General features: G+C 33.9%; 1 protein-coding gene across 4 annotated transcripts in view; it reads right to left on the bottom strand.

Annotated features, from left to right (window-relative positions):
- PHF14 (PHD finger protein 14) overlaps nt 1-20,089 on the bottom strand; it is a 195,747-nt gene that overhangs the window by 106,561 nt on the left and 69,097 nt on the right. For all 4 annotated transcript variants that reach the window (NR_033436.2, NR_033435.2, NM_001007157.2 and 1 more), the window contains 3 exons: nt 11,278-11,446; nt 1,217-1,267; nt 973-1,094 (listed from right to left, as the gene is read on the bottom strand). Coding sequence is in view for 2 of the 4 variants with exons in the window: in NM_001007157.2 (NP_001007158.1) it covers nt 973-1,094; nt 1,217-1,267; nt 11,278-11,446 (342 nt within the window). In the remaining 2 variants the exon portion in view is untranslated. The remainder of the gene's footprint in view (nt 1-972; nt 1,095-1,216; nt 1,268-11,277; nt 11,447-20,089) is intronic.

Raw genomic sequence — 20,089 nt, 5'->3', positions numbered from 1 at the left:
AATAGATTAAATCATTTGGAAGTAAGTATTTAAAAACATACAACAACACTAATATATTTGTTTTATCAATATGTTTATTCTTTTTGAAATGTTTAATTTCTGTGTCCTCAGTTAATTTAACAGGGCTTTACCAGAAGACAATTTTTTAAAGAAATAAGAATGGATTCCCTTACAAAGTCCCTGTAAGAACTGTAAGAACTTTTGTGACACTGTCCTTTGAAAGTCTGATGCCTCTTTTAAATTAGCTCTCTTTTTGTTCACACACTCACTCCCCCATCTCACCAGAGCTTTGATCAATGTCTTCATTTCCGCTAAAATTAGCAGCCTCTGGACCGTTGGGAAAAGCCAATGTGCAGCATCAGCTAAGATTTCTGATTAGCATTATGTCTGATTAAAAAAAAATAAAGTACCAAAACGAAACAAAGAAACAAAGACAAAACAAAAAATAAAATCAACCTAGGCCATCTTTTCACCTTTCTTTATTTCGTAAGGGAGAAGCATTTAACACATTTGTTTTGATAAGCAATAAGAAAGTGCTAATTAAGTTCTTGTCAATAAAAAGTCTGTCTTCTCACCATTGCTTCTAAATTTCAAACATTTAGAATATGCTAACAGAGCTTAGTAACTTTATTGTTTTCTGACATAAAACATAATAATCTTAGTACACAGTGTTTAGATCAAATTACTTTCATGGCCTCTAAATAGAGAGCACTGTCAATTTCTCTTGTCAAGAGAAAAATAATTCCCTGTGTTAAACAGGCAGATTATCACTCTTATTTACATTTAAATCCAGAGTATAACCATGTGTGAGAGGTTAAGAAGTGGATGAAATCTGTTTCTAAAGTACTGTTTCCACTATATAATATTTTAAGAAAGGTCTTATCCTGCAATTGTTTTTTCATTTTTTCTGTGATGAGAAAATAAATATAGAACTTTCATCCCCTAAAGACAAGGTTTTAGCATCCAACTTACCTGACAAGATTTTCATTGTCTCCAGTTCCCTTGCAAGTTGCACATTCAGTTCTTAAATCTTCAGCCTTGGGCTTCTTTTGCAACACAGACTGTCTTTGTCTTCTCTCTCTAGGAACTCTTTCCTGCCATACAAGGGATAATAAAATAAAACATAACAAACAAAATAAGGATATGAGGGAAACAATTTTAAGCAAGAAAATTTCTCAAAGTTAAGACTGTGTAAAAGTGCTTAACTTATTCCAACCTCATGTTTTTCTTCCTCAGGAACGAAGCTTCGTTTTCGTCCTCTGGTTCTCTGGAAAAAAACAAAAAAAAAAACAAAAAACAAAAATCCACAGTATATCTAATGTTTAATTAATAATAAATATAAATTTCCTCTGTTAAATGTTATTGCTTAGGTTAGGCACTTGCAAAATTAGTTATTTCTAATTAATACTATATTGGACTACTGCACTTTGTTACCATTTATGCCATAGGAAATAAAAAGTAACAAATTAAATATACTTTATAGTACTTTACTTTTAAATAAACATGTATCTGATAGAAAAAAAATGAATTCTCCAAAATTATTTTAAAGGATTTTCTCCACACTTCATAATTGTCCATAATTATGATTTACTCAGAGCATTTAAATTTTCATAACTTATCACATCACTTATATAGCTGAAATGCTAAACCTGGGATCATACTACACACATTGTTTGCCTACATATATGCATGTGCATACATGTTTATGTAAAGAAATAATTCTTAAGCAGCCAAAAAAAAGTAGAAGGAAAAGTTCTCACATATCCAAAATCCTAGTTAACATAAAACTAATTAAAATGCCACATAAAATGACATTTTAAACTAATTTAGCTAAAATTCACATCCTATATTTCAGAATACATTTACCATTTGAAAGAACGCATACAAACGTTTAAAAGAACTGTAACTACATTAGTATTTGCAGCCAATATGTTAGAAATATCCACCAATCACAGCACAGCCCCATATGCAGACCACTGTTCCCTAGAGACTGGAAGAGAATGCAGGCACTGCTTCCAAAAATTACTTTGACAGCTGAGATCAAGGAACATTCCCAAGCTAGAGTAGGTACCAAATAATTCTAAACAGAATTACATTATAGTATAAATATATTAATATTTTCTTACATTAATTTCAATTCTTCATATCAAGTACACTGTTATTTAATACCATGGCTAACTACTTACCATTTAATCTGTTCCTAGATAACCAAGAGTCAACTAAATTAGTCATTCAAAAAAAGTAAATTTATAAACTATGAATCTGTTTACATTTATATTGCCAATCAGTCTGTTTTAATTATATTATGGAAGTAATTAGGCAGAAAACTGAAGACTATATCCAGGAAAGGCCTTTAAATGCAGATCCTGCATCTACAATTCTGACTTCCAAAGAACAATACTGAGACTTGCTTCTCAAGGTGTCAATCATGACCCATAAGCACTGGCATCACCTGAGTGTCTATTAGAAATGCAGAATCTCAGGCTGACTCCGACACACTGAATTAGAAGCTATCTTTTAACAAGAATCCTAAGTAGGTCAAATACACATAAGTTTAAGGACACCAGTGTAGAAAGGTCCTTAACAACACTTATTCAAGTTCTAACTGAAAACTTATGGCTAGTAATTTCTACATTCATCTCTTTTCCTTCTGTGCCACTCTTGCCCTTTAATGCTTTATTTTCTGTCCCCTTACAAAATTCATTCCCAATTTGGTAAGGACCATATCATATTCATCTTTCTACACCCAATTAAACTTAACACAAAGCTTATGACATAAAGACTCAATTAACTTGTTTTAATAAAATAAATTTATAAGTGGTTAAATCAGAACTAATGAATGATGATACTATATAATACAAACTAAAAGATCTGACTGACAGGCCAGGCACCATGGCTCACGGCCATAATCTCAACACTTTGAGAGGCTAAGCGGGGAAGACTGCTTGAGCTTAAAAGTTCAAGACCAGCCTGGGCAACACAGAGAGACCTTATCTCTACTAACAATAAAAATGAAAAAATCAGCTAGGCATGGTTGTGAGTGCTGGTAGTCCCAGCTACTCAGGAGGCTGTGGTGGGAAGATAACTTGAGCCCAGGAGATCTAGGCTGCAGTGAGACATGATCAAGTCACTGCATTCCAAGCCTGAGCAACAGGACGAGACTTTGTCTCAAAAAAATAAAATAAAATAAAAATTTGACAAAAAGTTTAAATTATTTTTCCCTAATTTGGTACTCTATTATCTAATTTGCATAATGTATATTTACAGGGCTTTTTTCTTTTTTTAGACAGACTCTCCCTCTGTTGCTCAGACTGGAGTGCAGTGGCAGCAATCTCAGCTCACTGTAGTTTCCGCCTCCCAGGTTCAAGCGATTCTCACACCTCAGCCTTGCAAGTAGCTGGGTTTACAGGTGTGCACCACCACACCTGGCTAATCTTTTCATTTTTACTAGAGAACGGGTTGCCATGTTGGCCAGGCTGGTCTCGAACTCCTGACCTAAAGCGATCCACCTGCCTTGGCCTCCCAAAGTACTCAGATTACAGGTGTGAACCACTGCACCTGGCCTACAGGGCATTTCAATAAGATGCTCCAAATTAGTAACCAATATCAAGTGGAAAATATTCAAATTACTCATTTGAGCTCTACAAACTTCTAAACAGAATGTGCAAAAGACTTCCATACATTTTCACATTTTTCTTCATCCAACTCATCTTTTAGGTAATGAACTAGCAAATGTATCATGTAGTTTTGAATTTTTCAAGTATGTATTTTAATGCTGCAAGTTCATGTTTTCAATTCTTTTAAGGATGTTTATTTACCATTTTGATAATAACTTAAATCTTCAAATATCTGGTATGACTCCATCAATTGAAACTCTCTTCATACCAGATTGCAATTAGCATCATATGGTATAATGCCAATTAGTGATTCAATCACACAATGGTATAGCTCCATTTCTCTCTATATTTATAAATTTCTTCTCATATATTAGGTGTATTTGTAATTATCTAAAATAGTCACTTTAAGTACATTTATTACCAAATGGTAATCGCTGATATATTCATGTAATAATTTAAAATAACACAAGACACATAAACAATTTCCATCTACAAAAATAAACTTATTATAAAAATATAAAATAATATTATCTTAGAGCTCTGAAAAAGCAATCCAGAGAAATGACTTGCTGATGTCACACAGCTGGTAAGTTTCTGAGGTAAACCTGAAACTCAGTTATCTCAACTGTCACTTCAGTGACTTTTCTTGCATGGCTAATCCAAGATTAATACTTTAATCCCAAATAGAAATGAGCTAAATCATTCAGAATGCAAATCTCTTATTGCACGTAAATACTTAAACTAAACTGTAACATTGTGATGCCCAATGAAGATTTCTTACATTTCAAATGAAGTTAGAGAATTATACCCAATAAAGAGTAAATTAAAACTGGCACTATAGTCTACATAATTTGGTAGCTCCATACTACATACTAACTTGATTCATTACCAAAGTAATTACAGCACTCTTATTTAGCATTTATCACATTACTAATATTTCCAAAGAAAAAAATAAAAGAGAATTTGGTCCAAATATAACTATACAAAATACCAAGTCCTCCAACCAAGAAAATGTTGAAAGCTATGGGATTTTTTTTTTCTAGTTTTAATGAAGTGGCAGCAACTATAACTACGAAAATTCATAACTGCTTAAGATCACAACAGACAAGTTATCTTGAAAGTAGTGTACTTGAATGAATCCCAAAACATAAGTAGAATTTAAAAGAGGGAGAAATGGTACAAAAAAGCAAGAAAAACGAAAATAAGTTGGGCCTATCTGACAAATTTCAGTTACCAAAGAGCTTGTCCCATCTCAGATGAATAGAAGTATATATAACTGGGTGGTCCTTTTCTGATATATTTTGAGGCTGAAACTACTTTAGCAACAATAAAACTGTAGGATGAAAATAATATGTGGAAGAAGGAAGAATTTTACTTTTCAAGAATGTGCTTTAGAATGTAACACAGATACGTTACCTGGAAATTCCACATGATTAATCAAGCAAGGGTGCAATTCCAAACTGATTAATTTTGACAGTAATTAGCTAACCTATTAAAAGTAAATGAAAGTTTAAAACTCATTCCAAATCTTGACACATTCCAATTTTTTGTTTTTCTTTTTTTTAAGAACTTGATTTAGCTAGGGAACAATTACAACCTGAGCTGCTTAAATCACCTTGCTCGTAATCTGTCCGTGATCAACTTACTTGAAAAGAGGTGATTAAAAAATCCATAGAAGAGATTGGCATGGTATTAGAGACAATGTATTTAAACTGAAAAGGTGTAAAATTATCTTATCTAGCAGGCAACTTTTAAATAGTTTATTCAGGCCGGGAACAGTGGCTCAGGCCTGTGATCTTAGTACTTTGGGAGGCCGAGGCGGGTAGATCACCTGAGGTAACGAGTTTGAAACCAGCCTGGCCAACATGGCGAAATCTCATCTCTACTAAAATACAAAACTCAGCCGGACGTGGTGGTGCACACCTGTAATCCCAGCTACCCAGGAGGCTGAGGCATGAGAATCGCTCGATCCTGGGAGGCGGAGGTTGCAGTGAGCCAAGGTCACACCACTGCACTCCAGCCTGGGCGACAGAGCAAGACTCTGTCTCAAAAAAATAAAAATAAAAATAAGTAAATAAATAGTTTATTCATCTAAAACAAATAATTAAACATTTCTCTAACTTTTCTATCATTTGGACTAAAAAACATGTAATGTATTTTAATTAATTCTTTAGAGCTGAGGTTATTTTAATTTGCAATCAAGTCAAATGCATGATTCATTTGGCAAATGAACTAAATTTAAAACTAAAAGAGTCAGTACCTTAACATCTTTGATATCAGTAAACTAGGCTTCACATATTCACTTGTGACCAGGTCACTAAATTTAACACTTGTGTTTTTGTTGACATATCAATATTTATACAAATTAATAATTAAAGTAAGTCACATATGGTGAATCATAAGAAATGCTTCCCTCTGCAACTTATATGTAAAAATAGAACATGCTTATTCATGGGCAAAATTCCAAAATCAATGTTAATTAGGACAATTAAGTCAAACTTTGAAAACCTCTGTTAAGCTAAATAGCATTAGATTTATGCTGGGGAATAAATGCCAGTAGCTTTCTGGCAGCTATTCAAAAATGCTTCAATATAAAATTTATTCTAATATATAAAAATATAATATATATTTAATTCCTAAGAATATAAAATTATATGTATAGCATATATTATATGTAGCAATATATAATAAAAATATAATTTCTAAAAAATATAAAATTATACATATACATAATTCCTAAAAATATTTGTCTTTCAATTATGAAACTGCATTGAAAACAAGTTAAAGTTCATGAAATATTCAAAGAAAATTGCTATATACAAAAAACAAATTATGAACAAGGTGTCATCTGTTTCTGTTGGCTACCAATAAACAACCAATGGAATGGCAGTCACCAAAAGTGAGTGCTTTCCCTTTGGTCAATTGACTGTAGAGTTTCTTTTTATCTAATTTAGCTTATGTTAACAGGGTTATGAAAATATATGGGAGAATAAAAAGAAAATCATAACCAATTTGTCTTAACTACTATAAACTGAAATAACTATGGGTCTAATGATATATAATAAAATATGTATTCTACATGACAAGTAAGTGCTGCTATAAAAACCTTCTCAGAGATAATGGTATATACAAAATAAGGAAAGTCTTGAAAGCTCCACCTATTCTTATCTTTATTTCATACTCCTGGGAATAAATAAAAGTGATGGATTTCCAAGAGGCAAAAAGCAAAACAGGAGTCTCAGGGTTCTGAATAAGATTACTTGAGCTAAGGACACCCACAGAGTAGATCTCTTCCAAGTAGCCAAAGTGAGTTCTAGTTCACTACAAAAACTGTTTGCCAGGGTTTCTTCTAAGAATCTATGACAGATAGAGGTTTTATAATCTGACTCGTACCTCAGAGGTCACCTTGAGTCTGATAATAGAAAACTCTGGTATGTAAAGCCCCCACAAATAACTCTTCTTTCCCAGAACTGTAGTAATTCAAACAGTTAGTATAAGAATAAGTAAAATAAATATGAACATAATGTACAGTAACCTTTAGTCACTTCAGTAGAACTGAATCCAAATGCTTCAACATTTTTCCTAAACTAACATCTAAAAAATATTTATATGAAACATATTTCATATTTTCAGATTCTCAAGACTTAAGCTTAAACATTATTAAATAGGTACTTTGTATATGCGTAAAATTAGTTAAAACATAAATGTAATAAAAGTAGGCTCTAGGATATTTGATTATCTCTCAAATAAAGACTGCCACTTAGAACTGGCTAGTGGCTCACATTGTTAAGTGCGATGGAAAAACGATTAGATGTGTTTAAATCTCCTTCTAAAATAATGATCTAAAAGAAATAATGCATCCTGAAAAACAATATGGTTTTCAGTCAAAGCTGCTAAAAAGTATTTTGCCTATTTATTGCATTTATTTTGCAAAAAAGAAAATATATAAAACACAACCAGAATTTGTAAGTCAGGAAGAAAGATCTCAGAACTTCAAAGAGAGTAGATGATGCATGCGTGTGTGTAAAAACAATGGAAAGAGAGGTCCCAACAAGTCCTTTGGCACTTCTACAAAAGATGAAAAGTCACTACATGACTTAGAGTGCAAAGAAAGCAAAAAGAAAATCTGAAAGCTTTCAAGTTACATTAGAGTATTAGAAAATATGTCCACAAGTATAAACACCAATTTTAAAGTAACTTCAAAAGGGATATGGGTAAGCTAATTTATGTTTTCTTCAAAATTAATTTCCTTGCCTAAAAGTAAGTAAAAGTTTCCACATAGAAAATAATGCAGAGAAAATGTCTAAATAACAAAGTACTTAAACAGAACTATCTCAGGCTGCCTTTACAATAATTCTATAGTTTCACTGATGAAACATAAGAAGAATGGGACCCATTCTTCTGTGGTAAACAGGGCAGTTGCTGTCTGCCAGGAGTTCAGGTCCATGAGCTTGGGGTATGTCATGATTGCCCTACGTATGTCATGAAGGTAAAATTTTCTTCAAAATCATGACAGAATAATAAGACTAACATGAAAACAAATTATACTTTGATCAATTTATGGCAGGAAAAATGAAAAACTGACAAAAATAAAAATACTATAATAATGTATTACAAGACAGAATGTTCCCAATTGTAATACCTGTGCTGAAATAAAAGTGTAAGTAGGAGGATATTGGGAGCAATAGTTTAAAAATGTAACAATGGGAGAGAAAAATTAGTTATATATTGCAAAAGGTATTTATACAAGTTAGTAAGCTGTTGTATGCCTGGTCTCTCATAATTAACACTGTTCTAAGAAACACAATTAGAACACCTCATTTTTCACCATACCACCTATTGATTAAAAAAGATAAATACAACTCAAATAGAAATAAGTAAAAACTTAAGGTAACAACAGGAACTCAGCATAAATGGTAAGATCAAGACCAAAATGACTGATCACTCCCTTCTGTATCTCTCATTCCTACATTCCTTGAACAGTTTAGTATGATACCTCGCACCAATTGTCTGGTTTTCTGAATGGATTGTTGGAAGGCAGGCAGAAAAGATGAGAGGGAAAAAGGAAAGGTAATCACCATTAGTAGTTATTTTCAACTTTTATTTAGTATAAGCGTAGCACCTAAGAAATCTGCTTAGTCAAACCCCTAAATTCTAATTGATTAATTCCAGAATGGGTCCAAAGTCTATACTAGCTCTAGGGTGGGTCCAAAGTCTACATTTCAACAAATACCCAAGATGGTCCTAATGCAAGTAATCCATGGTCTCCGGAGCATCATTTCCAAACTTAGCACCACACAGTACTCTATGCTACCAAAAAAAAAGTGTCTTAAAAAATGCTTTTTTGATAAAAACAAGTTAAGAAAAAGAATAGATAAAAGTAATCCTGTTTCTAAATATTAGGATTTTTTTTTTTTGGAGCTTCAACATGCATTGGAATTTCTACAAGTAAGAAAATAATCACACTGCATTTCCTGAAATTACTGGTCATGGACTCTTTCCCTGGTGTTTCACTGACCAAAATCTGTAAGAAGTCTAAAACTTTTAAACAAGAAAACTAGAGACAAAGAACAAGATGAAAGGAATGGGATTATATTAGCAAATTTTAAAGCTTCCTTATAATTCTAGGATAAAAAAAGCAGACCAGTAAAGGTGAGAAAAAAATAGAAGGATCCTTTAATGTTAAAGAGTTCTCTTTTATCTCAAGTAATACTGAACTGTGGGCACAAAAATTTCACTGTAATATACATAATTTCCCTCTATATGATAACTCCAAAGTTAAGGATGATAATACTAGTCAAAAGGCTTTCTTGAAACAATAAAGAAACTGGAAAAATAATGTTTCATAAGAGGATAATCTTTGTAGACAGACATACGAAGTAATAACTCTTCTCTAAGATCTTAAGAATAACTAGTTACCATTTTCAAACAATTATAGAAAATATTTTAGAAATAGAAACTAGCCGGCTTATTTAACAAAGGAAAAGTCTCTCTAGTTCCCTTATAAACAAAATATATTTTTGAAGCCTAAAAAAAGAGTTATAAACAGTTGAAACTACAAATAAAAACTATTTCAAGTTGATCTACTTAGAGCACCCAAAATAAACTGTTTCAATTATCTAAGAGATAAAGATTTGCCTCATAAATTTTATATGACCCCATAACACAAAACTGATTTAAAAAATCAAGCTGAATCTCCTGAATAAGATCTTTTAAGTGATTATAATATAGGAGGTTAATACAGATTAAGAAAATGTTTTTTGAGAAAACTGTTACTTTAAGGAAAAAATTAAAGACTCTTTAAAATGAAACAGGTAACAGAACAAATGATGACAACTAACCCTAAAAATATCTTTGTATCTCCCTTGTGGAAAGGAAGATTTTTGAAAAGTGCCTGCCTCAGCTCAAGCAAGGAAAGTATGCCCTAAGAATTCATAACTGTAAGCCAGCACTTAAAGGTTTGAAATTTACACTCCTGATGTAATAGAAAACATACACACCAAACTTTTATTTAAAATATTCTCAAGTTGGTAGAGGCCCCTTCAAGGTACCTGGTAAACATGAACATAAATGATTTCCCCAGAAGAAACTCTTTAAAACCTGGCCTCAAAGAATTTGCAATGAGAAAAAGGTAAACACCCCAACAGAAAAACTGGTGAAAGGCTTGCATACACATTTCCCAGAAAAGGAAATACAATTTACCAAAAATATGTAAATAGATGAACAAAATCATTAGTACTGAGAGAAATGCAACATAAAATGTCAAGATACTATTTTCCCTGTACCACACTGGAAAGCATTAAAACACTGGACAAAACTTTGTGAAGCAACAGAAACATTATCCATTGCTGGTATGAGTGTGAACTGGTTTGGAAAACAATTGCAGTTATCTAGCAAAACTGAAGATGCAGATAGTCTGTAACTTAGCAAATCTACACCTTAATACATACACAAACTCCTTGTTACCATGCTGCAGGAGATATTTATAGGAATATTTTAAACAAAGCTGTATAGAATAGAAAAACATGAAAAAAACCTAACTGCCCATCAACAAAGCAAAAGAAAAACTAGGTAATAATCTATTCTTTCCATAGAAAACTATACATTAGTGACAATAAATAAACTACAACTACATGGATCAGCATGTCTGAATCAAATCAACATAATTTTGGTCAAAATATCAAATTACCAGAGAAAAACATTTGATTCCATTCATATGAAATTCAAAACCTACAAAAATAAACCATGTATTATTTATAAGTACAGAAATTTAGAGTGTAAATCTCTTCTATAAAGAAAAAGAAGTGAATGAGAAAAGTAAAGCTGAGTAAAGAGGTGGCCTCTGGGCTAGACAGATAAAGATGAGCTTGTCGAGGGGTTTACGGGAAACTTCTAAAGCTTTGGGAATGGTCTGTCTTTCAAGGTGGGTGATGGATGCTCTGGTGTGTTCCTTATATTATGCCTCCAACAAAATATAAACTACAAACACTCAGGTAAGCATGTGGTATATTTCATAATATAGAAAAAAAATTGTTAAGAATAACCAATAGATGTCTTTTTCTTTGACTTCTGAGTATATGTTTGCCCTGTGTCTTTCTCACTCTCTTAAATTTTGGCCTCAGAATTGTATGATGCTTATGATAAATAAAAAATAAACTACCGTGTTTCTTATCGGAATCTTCTTGGGTTCTGGTGGCACATCCTGTGGAACAAATTTCACTGGTTCCTTAATCTGCCTCCTTGATCGTTTGGTTCCATCTGGTAGGGTTTCCATGGCCATATCTGCTTCCATGTCACTGCTCCCTGCCTGGTCACATTCCGAGCACTGCCTACATAAAGGGGAAAAATTTAAGTCATGCATTTATTATTATCTTCTGGCTTTAGCTATAGTTTTTATAAATACAAAATCCAGGTATATAAGAATAATATATAAAAATATACACAGGTAATGTGATTATAGGGTACATAATGAAAAAACATTCAGAAATACTCCTCTAAGAGTGACTACTATGAATATAATATTTAAGGCAATTTAATGTATCCTGTAAGTATAAGAACACATTTAACAATGCTATATGTTTAAGTGAACCAACATGAGATTCAACACTGATTAAAAAGGTGGTTTTGCCAGCTGCAGTGGCTCACTCCCATAATCCCAGCACTTCAGGAGACTGAGGCAGGATGACTGCTCACAACATAGTGAGAGACTGTCTTCACAAAAAAAAAAAGAAAATTAACTAGGCTTGGTGGCACACGCCTATAATCCCAGCTACTCAGGAAGCTGAAGTGAAAGAGTCACTTGAGCCCAGGAGGTGGAGGCTGCAGTGAGCTATGATCTCAACACTGCACTCCAGCCTGGGTAACATGAGCAAGACCCTGTCTTAAATAATAATAATAATTTACCTTTGGAAAGCATGACTTTTCTTTAAATGACATATACTGTGATACCTGAAAATCAAAGTCCTTCAAGGACCCTAACACTACTCCTTGTCACAGTTATCATATCTTTTAATTGTAGTCAGTGACAACTTGTGCTGAATATACTACTTAAAGAAACTATACAAACAGACTCCAAGAAGTGTTGGGGGAAAAAAAAGGTCATATTATTTGGTGGCCCCTACTACTTCTAAAAGAAGAAATATACATTTATTTATCAAAGGAATTTGTTAAAGTAGCATTTATAAAGAATTTTAATATGGGTAATATTAAAAATTAATTGAAACTAAAACTTTAGACAAGTGGTATCCAACAGAACTTTTTATAATATTAGGATTATCTACATATCTGTGCTGTCCAGAACAGTGGCCACTAGCCATAGATGGTTACTGAGCACTTGAAATGTGGCAAATACCACTGAGAAAATTTCTCATTTTAATATTAATTGATTTAAATTTAAATAGCCATATGTGGCTAGTGGCTAACATTTAGACAGCAGAAATCTAAACAACAACTGCTGGAAATCTTTATATTGTCAATCATAAAGGACCATTTCAAAAAGTTAAAACCAGTTGTTAAAAGTAAATTTTTACTCATATTTTCTTCAAATGTAAAAGAATGATCAAAAGCAAATTCTCCAAAAGTTTGATAGTATTCTCTTAATAAAAATGATTATAATCTGTAAAATTGTATTTGATATTTAGTTTATATGTTTATATCAGTATCTTTGAATGTAGCTTATAATTCTCATAGCAAGTATTTTCAAAGATTTATGATTTGATTTCGTTCCATCAAAATTCACATCTTTCACTAATACTGTGAACTTATTAAACTAATATTTAATTGTCAAAGTGACAGCTTTAAATTTTGAACTCCAACAAGAGTTAAATACCAAGTACCATTTGTTTTGTTAATGCAAACATATTATTACTAAAATACAAATTAATCCTTAACGTATTAATTTAAATATCTTAAAATTTCCAATTATTTAAGAATAGGTTAGCAAAACTTTGAGCACTAGAAATACTGATCAGTGAAAGCAAAACAAAAATGTACATAATCATGTATTACTCAGAAAACTTTTATGTATCTATTGCTACACTTCATGTAAATATAGCTGGCAGGTTATCCCCTAGGTTGTCAGATTACCATCATTAACAAAGACACAACTAAACGAATATATTAAATTGCTCCTGCATTTGTCCCATATGAAAACATCAAGGACTGGCAAAAGAAAATACACACCTTACAGAATCTCAGAATTGAAATGATAAGTATATTCTGACTTTATTAGCAGAACTGTGAAAACCCCAGAAATGTTAGATATTGTTAGTTAACTAATAATAAATGCAACAGCCTTCAAAACAGATGACTAGAGAAATTATCATATTATATTACAAAAAGGCACACTGCTTCACTTTTCAGCATTAAATTGTAATCTTAATGCTAACTGATCATTTCTATCAGTTGAGTGAAATGTAGTCAGTTTCTCAAACAGTTCTAATTTACACTTTTTTTTTTTTTTTTTTTGAGAGACAGTCTTGCTAAGTCGCCCAGGCTGGAGTCCAGTGGCACGATCTCGGCTCACTGCAACCTCCACCTTCCCCATTCAAGCGATTCTCCTGCCTCAGCTTCCTAAGTAGCTGGGACTACAGGTGTGTGCCACCACGCACAGTTAATTTTGGATTTTTTAGTAGAGACAGGGTTTCACTATATGTTGGCCAAGCTGGTCTCAAACTCCTGACCTCAGGTGATCCTCCCGCCTCAGCCTTCCAAAGTGCTGGGATTACAGGTGTGAGCCACCGCGCCAGGCTCTAATTTACTTTTAAAATATGTTGTTTGTCTACTTAAATAACAGGCAAACATAATGTTATCTAAATCCCCTAGGTATAGAAGCAGGTACCTTTTCAGATAAATCATTGTTTTGTTTTGTTTTAAAAACTGAAATATTTCCTCTTCGCTTCTCTTTTGGTAGCAATTACCCTTGTCAGGACATTCTTTATTCTTATGTTCACTTCCATCCCCACTATAAATAATAGTTAGGTGACAAAGAAATTTGGCTAATTCCCAGAAAATAGAAATGTTACACCCTGAACACCACAAAACACGGAACAACTCAAAAAATCAAAACAAATGTAACTGCCAATGCAGAATATATCCATTCCTATTTCAAGACAACCGCCACATGATTGTTGCAGTAGATAGAGTCCACACTGAGTAGACTACAAGAGTATTATGGACATAATACTTCTTAGCCATTCTTCAACAATCTATTAAACACTATAGTCTTCATCTTATAAATATCCTTTAAGATATGTAAAAAATGTTTCTGCTACATTAATTGGTACACAAGATGGTAAGAAATAATAACCTAGAATAAAGCCATGGCCTGTCTAATTCAATGAAATCAAATAATTATTTTTTCTTTGTTTTCAGACAGAGTCTTGCACTATTGCCAAGGCTGGAGTGCAGTGGCATGATCTAAGGCTCACTGTAACCTCCATCTCCCGGGTTCAAGCAATTCTCTGCCTCAGCCTCCCGAGTAGCTGGGATTACAGGTGCCTGCCACCATGCCTGGCTAATTTTTGTATTTTTAGTACAGATGGGGTTTCACCATGTTGGCCAGGCTGGTCTTGAACTCCTGACCTCGTGATCCACCTGCCCCGCCCTCCCCAAAGTGCTGAGATTTCAGGCGTGAGCCACCACGCCCAGCTGAAATCAAATAATATTTTAAGGAAAATCATGATTATCTTTCCTAAAGTCAAATACATACCTGGCTTCTTTCAATAATCCACTAAACTGCTATTATCTATTAATTTAGCTAAACTCACCTTAATTCTATATATTTTTACTTAGCACACTGTATGAGAATAGAGTCCTAAAATTTATAATTCCCATGGACAATACTGAAGATAATCTTAACCTTTTAATTGATCCAAGCCAATTAAAAATTTAAAGTATAATAAAAATCCATGTCAGGAATTTATGCAACAGAATAACTTTCATGTTGAAATACCAAGAGGTTTTTCTCTTTTCCCTTCCTCCCTCCCCCTCCCTCCCTCTCCCTCCCCCTCCCTCTCCCTTCCCTTCCTTTCCTTCCTTCCTCCCTCCCTTCTTTCCTCCCTTCCTTCCTCTCTTTTTCCCGCCCTCCCTCCCTCCCTTCTTTCCTTCCTTCTTTCCCTCCCTCCTGCCCTCCCTCCTCTTCTTCTGTCTTTTTGTGAGACAGAGTCTCACTCTGTCACCCAGATTGGAGAGCACTGGCGCAATCTCAGCTCATTGTAGCCTCAGCCTCCCAGGTTTAAGCAATTCTCTACCTCAGCCTCCTGAGTAGCAGGGATTACGAATCCCCATCACCATTCCTAGCTAATTTTTGTATTTTTAGTAGAGACAGGGTTTCATCATGTTGGTCTTGAACTCCTGACCTCAAGTGATCCGCCCGCCTCAGCCTCCCAAAGTGCTGGGATTACAGACATGAGCCACTGCGTCTGGCCTTTTCTCAATTTTCTATACCTTCTATATGTTTCTAGCACCATACAACTACAACCTATAATCAGAATGATGACCCAATGGAATTTCAGAATCTTAGTTACTAAAGAAAAATGTTTAATAGTGCTTAGACAAGAAAGTGTACTAATTTAAGCCAGGCACAGTAGCTCACGCCTGTAATCCAGCACTTTGGGAGGCCAAGGCAGGCGGATCATGAGGTCAGGAGATCGAGACCATTCTGGCTAACACGGTGAAACCCCATCTCTACTAAAAATACAAAAAATTAGCTGGGCGTGGTGGCACGCGCCTGTAGTCCCAGGTACTCGGGAGGCTGAGGCAGGAGAATTGCTTGCACCCAGGAGGCAGAAGTTGCGGTGAGTTGCGATTGTGCCACTGCACCCCAGCCTGGGTGACAGAGCGAGACTCCATCTCAAAAAAAGAAAAAAAAAAGAAAGTGGACTAATTTAGAGAATTTTATTCGTGTAAGTTAAAAAAAAAAAGGATTTTATGAATCTTTAAATGCAATAATGCAATAAATAAATCCAGTAACATTCCATATTCCAAATAATTCATGATTTACTTTTTTCTCCTCCACAATTTATCTTTTTCAGTCATCAAGAACTCAGGATCCCACACCAGAGTTTTTTTTTTTCTTATGTCTAAGCCGTTAGCCATGTTTTCTCCTGTATTTAGAGGAAAGTCTTGACAGGTGCCTACATAAAACTTTAAGAGGTGGCTCAAATATCATTCTTCTCAGACAAGTAATACCTCAGTCCCTCCTACTTCTGCATTATGGGTATCTCTTTGAAGGGCAGAAAACAACATTTAACTCAACTTGTAAATTTTATTCTTTTTGTAGTTATAATACCTGTAAAAACTTTAATAGCAGATATATACCTGTTATTTCATATACAGTAAATGTCCCATTCTAATGCTGGAATTCCTACTAGCGGTTAATGGGAAGAAGAGGCAATAAAAAAATGTAAATGAACAAATTATCAAGAAAAACAAAGGAAAAAACCCTCTGTAAACTATTCCTAGAAGGGTTTGAGTTTTCTTTTCATCATAAAATAAAGACATATCCAAGGAATAAAAGGATATATTACTCAATTCTCTGTTAAATAATGTGTTTCAGAATATTCTTCAAACAATTGGAAAAGGCAACACAAGTTCCAATCAGATGAGTGGAGGCAGAAATATAACATTAGTCTTCTAAAATTAAGAGATGATTAACTATTTGAACTACTCTAATAAATCAAGCCCTTACCATTTGTATCCTACCAAATGTGTCTTAGAATTTAAGGCAGTGTGGAGATTGTACATTTTTAAAAACAACAACAAAAATCAAAATAACATAAACTAAAAATGAGACAAAATGCATTTTAAATACTAGAAAGAGGTACAAACAAAATAGAACCTAGATCACACCATCACTAGCCTCTCTATTCTCTGTGGAATTCTTCACCCACCTATTAATAATATTCTTTACTAGCTTTTCACATCCCTGGCCCAACCTAAGAAGCCCCTAGGTTTTCCCCTCTCCTTCTCCTGGGCAGCAGAGCATAATTCAAGAAAAATCAAATAATCACATTTACTTATGCACTAAACATTCTTGCTACACAGCCTCAGCAAGTCAGTTTGATTTTTCCACAGTAAGTTGTTACCAACCATCTGCTGTCTTCTCAAGAGCCCATCATCATCCCAGGTCTCTTCCCTCTCAACAGACTCCTATATCACTGAAATATCTGAGCCTGTCCAAGGTGAATTCACTCAACTTCCCTACCTTCCACCAATAATTACTTCTGTATCTGTATCCATCTTTTCTTTGATGTCACATGTCTTAACCTGCCCAGCACAGTCCACAGAACTCTGGGATGGACTGAAGAAAGCATCCAAATCTAGAACTAGTGTCTCCTTGAAAACAGTGCTGGTACTGGAAGAAAAGGCTGGATAGCAAGTGCTTAAAATAGTTATTAGAGTAGAATATGATATCTGAGAAGGCAACAGATTGTATAGTAATTAATTCTAGGTACAGTTTGCTTACAGGGTATTTAGTAGTAAGGGTGCTACCACAGGCTTGCAAAACATAAAGACAGCAAAAATAAACCGGCCATTCAGAAATATTATACCAGAGGGACCTGTGGAAGTTCAAGCTGCAGACTAAGGCACAGTCATGAAATAAGAGTCCAGTAACAGGACCCTAGTGATCAAAGGAAATTTGATCACTAGAAACAAGGAGAAATTAAAGGACCCTTTCCCTAATGAAAGGACTAGTAAGAACAAGGTAGAGTCTAAAGCAGACATCAGTCAGTGATATGCTAGTAAATGTCTAACACTTGACCCTCTGGGGGAAAGCCCTGTTATGTAGTATTTAGTAATTTCTACAGTACAAATACTCCTAACTATGGCAATTTCAATTTCAAATTATCAACATGGCATCACAGAATGTAGGATGGGGAAAAGGGTGTGTAGTAGCAACTATCATAGGTTGAGCATCCCAAATCCAAAAATCCAAAATCTGAAGTGCTCCAAAATCCAAATGTTTTTTGAGCACTGACATTACAGTCAAAGAAAATGTTCATTGGAGCATTGCAGATTTCAGATTTTCAGATTTGGGATACTCGACCAGTAGGTACAATGCAAATATTCCAAAACAAATACAAAAACAAAATCCAAATCACTTCTGGTCCCCAGCACTTTGGATAAGGGATACTCAACCTGCGTTTATCATTTTTTTTCTACCATCCAGATGCAATAGACTTAAATAACCTCTAGAGCATAGATAATAGTAAAATGTGACAAAATATTTAGAAAGTGTTAAGTTTTGAGTATTTATTATCTTTAGTATAACTTCAAAAATAAACTGAAAATGTTAAAAAGCAAAAAGTAAAAACTGCCTCCCACATTTGAGGTACACTAAAGAAAAAACAATTCTCTGAATCTTGCACACTCCAAAATTAATACACCCAGTTAACTGCTAACCAAAGCTAAGTTGATCTTAGAGGCCAAAGGAAATGTTATCACTAGAAACAAGGAGAAATTAAAGGCTTCACTGTGCTACAACATTAACTTCTACTTTTACTTAAAAACCACTAACAACAATGAAAAGGCTCTAAGTTGTTTACGCCCTTTTAGAAGTGCTCTCACTAAAACACCTCAGGCTATGTACATTACTTCTTTTCTTTTTTTTTTAATTTCAACTTTTATTTTAGATCAGGGGGTATATGCACAGGTTTGTTACATGGGTATACTGCATGATACTGAGGTTTGGAATATGAATGATCCCTATCACCCAGGTAGTGAGTATACTACCCAACAGTTTTTCAAACCTTGCTCCCCTCCCTCCCCATTCTAGTAGGCCCCATCTTTATGTCCATGACTATCCAGTGTTTAGCTTCCACCTGTAAGTGAGAACATGCAGTATTTGGTTTTCTTTTCCTGGGTTAATTCACTGAGTATAATGGCCTCCAGCTGCCTCCTTGTTGCTACAAAGAACATGATTTCCCTTTTTTTGTGTGTGTTTTTTTTTAGCTGCAGAAACTCTCACATGCTGGAAACCAGAGCTCTGCAGGCTGAGCAGTATCAGGAGGGTCCATAACTTCATTTAAGGAGAGAACTGCATAACTCTATATAAGTTCATGGCAAAACATCCTGGCTCTGGAGACTATCAAACTAGCTTTCAATTTAAAAACTCACCCAGGATGCTTATTAACATTGTTGGGATTTGAATATGCTATAGCAGTTTCTGAAGCACATAAAAACCATAATAAATACATTCCACTGCATTTCAAAAGAACAGGCCAGTATGAATATCTCAAAACAAACTGATACAAAGAACACTATAAAAAAGCAATCATGTGAAAATAGTGAAAAAATTTCAGCTTCCTAATCAAATGAACAGAGGTAGCCTTAAGTGATAAAACAATGAGGTCAAAAAATATGCCTAATGTATTTGAGGAACACACACAACCTCTTGTAGAGATTACCATTTAAAAATTTGGGGTTCACTCTTTTCTAAAACTGGAAAGGTAACTTGTATAAAAAGAATATTCATGTTCATTCCAAAGTTTTCCTTTTCCTATATTCTCCTTCCTATGAGAAATCATTCTATTAAAATCTGAACATCTGTCCCTTTCTTGGAGTAAAATTAAGAAAAGGATAAAACTCATTATAGATACTATAACCTTTATCAAATGTAGTGATTCGATATGCCTAAGTTAATAAAAAAAAAAATCAGAAATGTTTATCAAATGTTTCTAGATGTCAAAGAATGGTTGAATTTAAATGACTAGCACAAATACCAAATACCAGAAGTAAAGCCTTTGACTCTAATCCAAAAATAAAATATTAAATTGCAAGTAAAAGCATAATATGATGGCAAATTTTAGATAAATTCAATTTCAAAATAACAATAAAGCATTTGAGAAATTCTGAACAATAAAACAAGAGAATTATAAGCAATGGACAGAATTCATGCCTTAAAGAAGAATCTATTGCTAAGATAATAGCCACAATTAATGAAAAACTCATTTCTCAAAAAAGCTGTTATA

Source organism: Homo sapiens, chromosome 7 (genome assembly GCF_000001405.40).
Source record: "Homo sapiens chromosome 7, GRCh38.p14 Primary Assembly".
NCBI lineage: Eukaryota > Metazoa > Chordata > Mammalia > Primates > Hominidae > Homo > Homo sapiens.
Note: the sequence above shows the minus strand (reverse complement) of the source record. Positions and strands in the feature narration are given on the sequence as shown.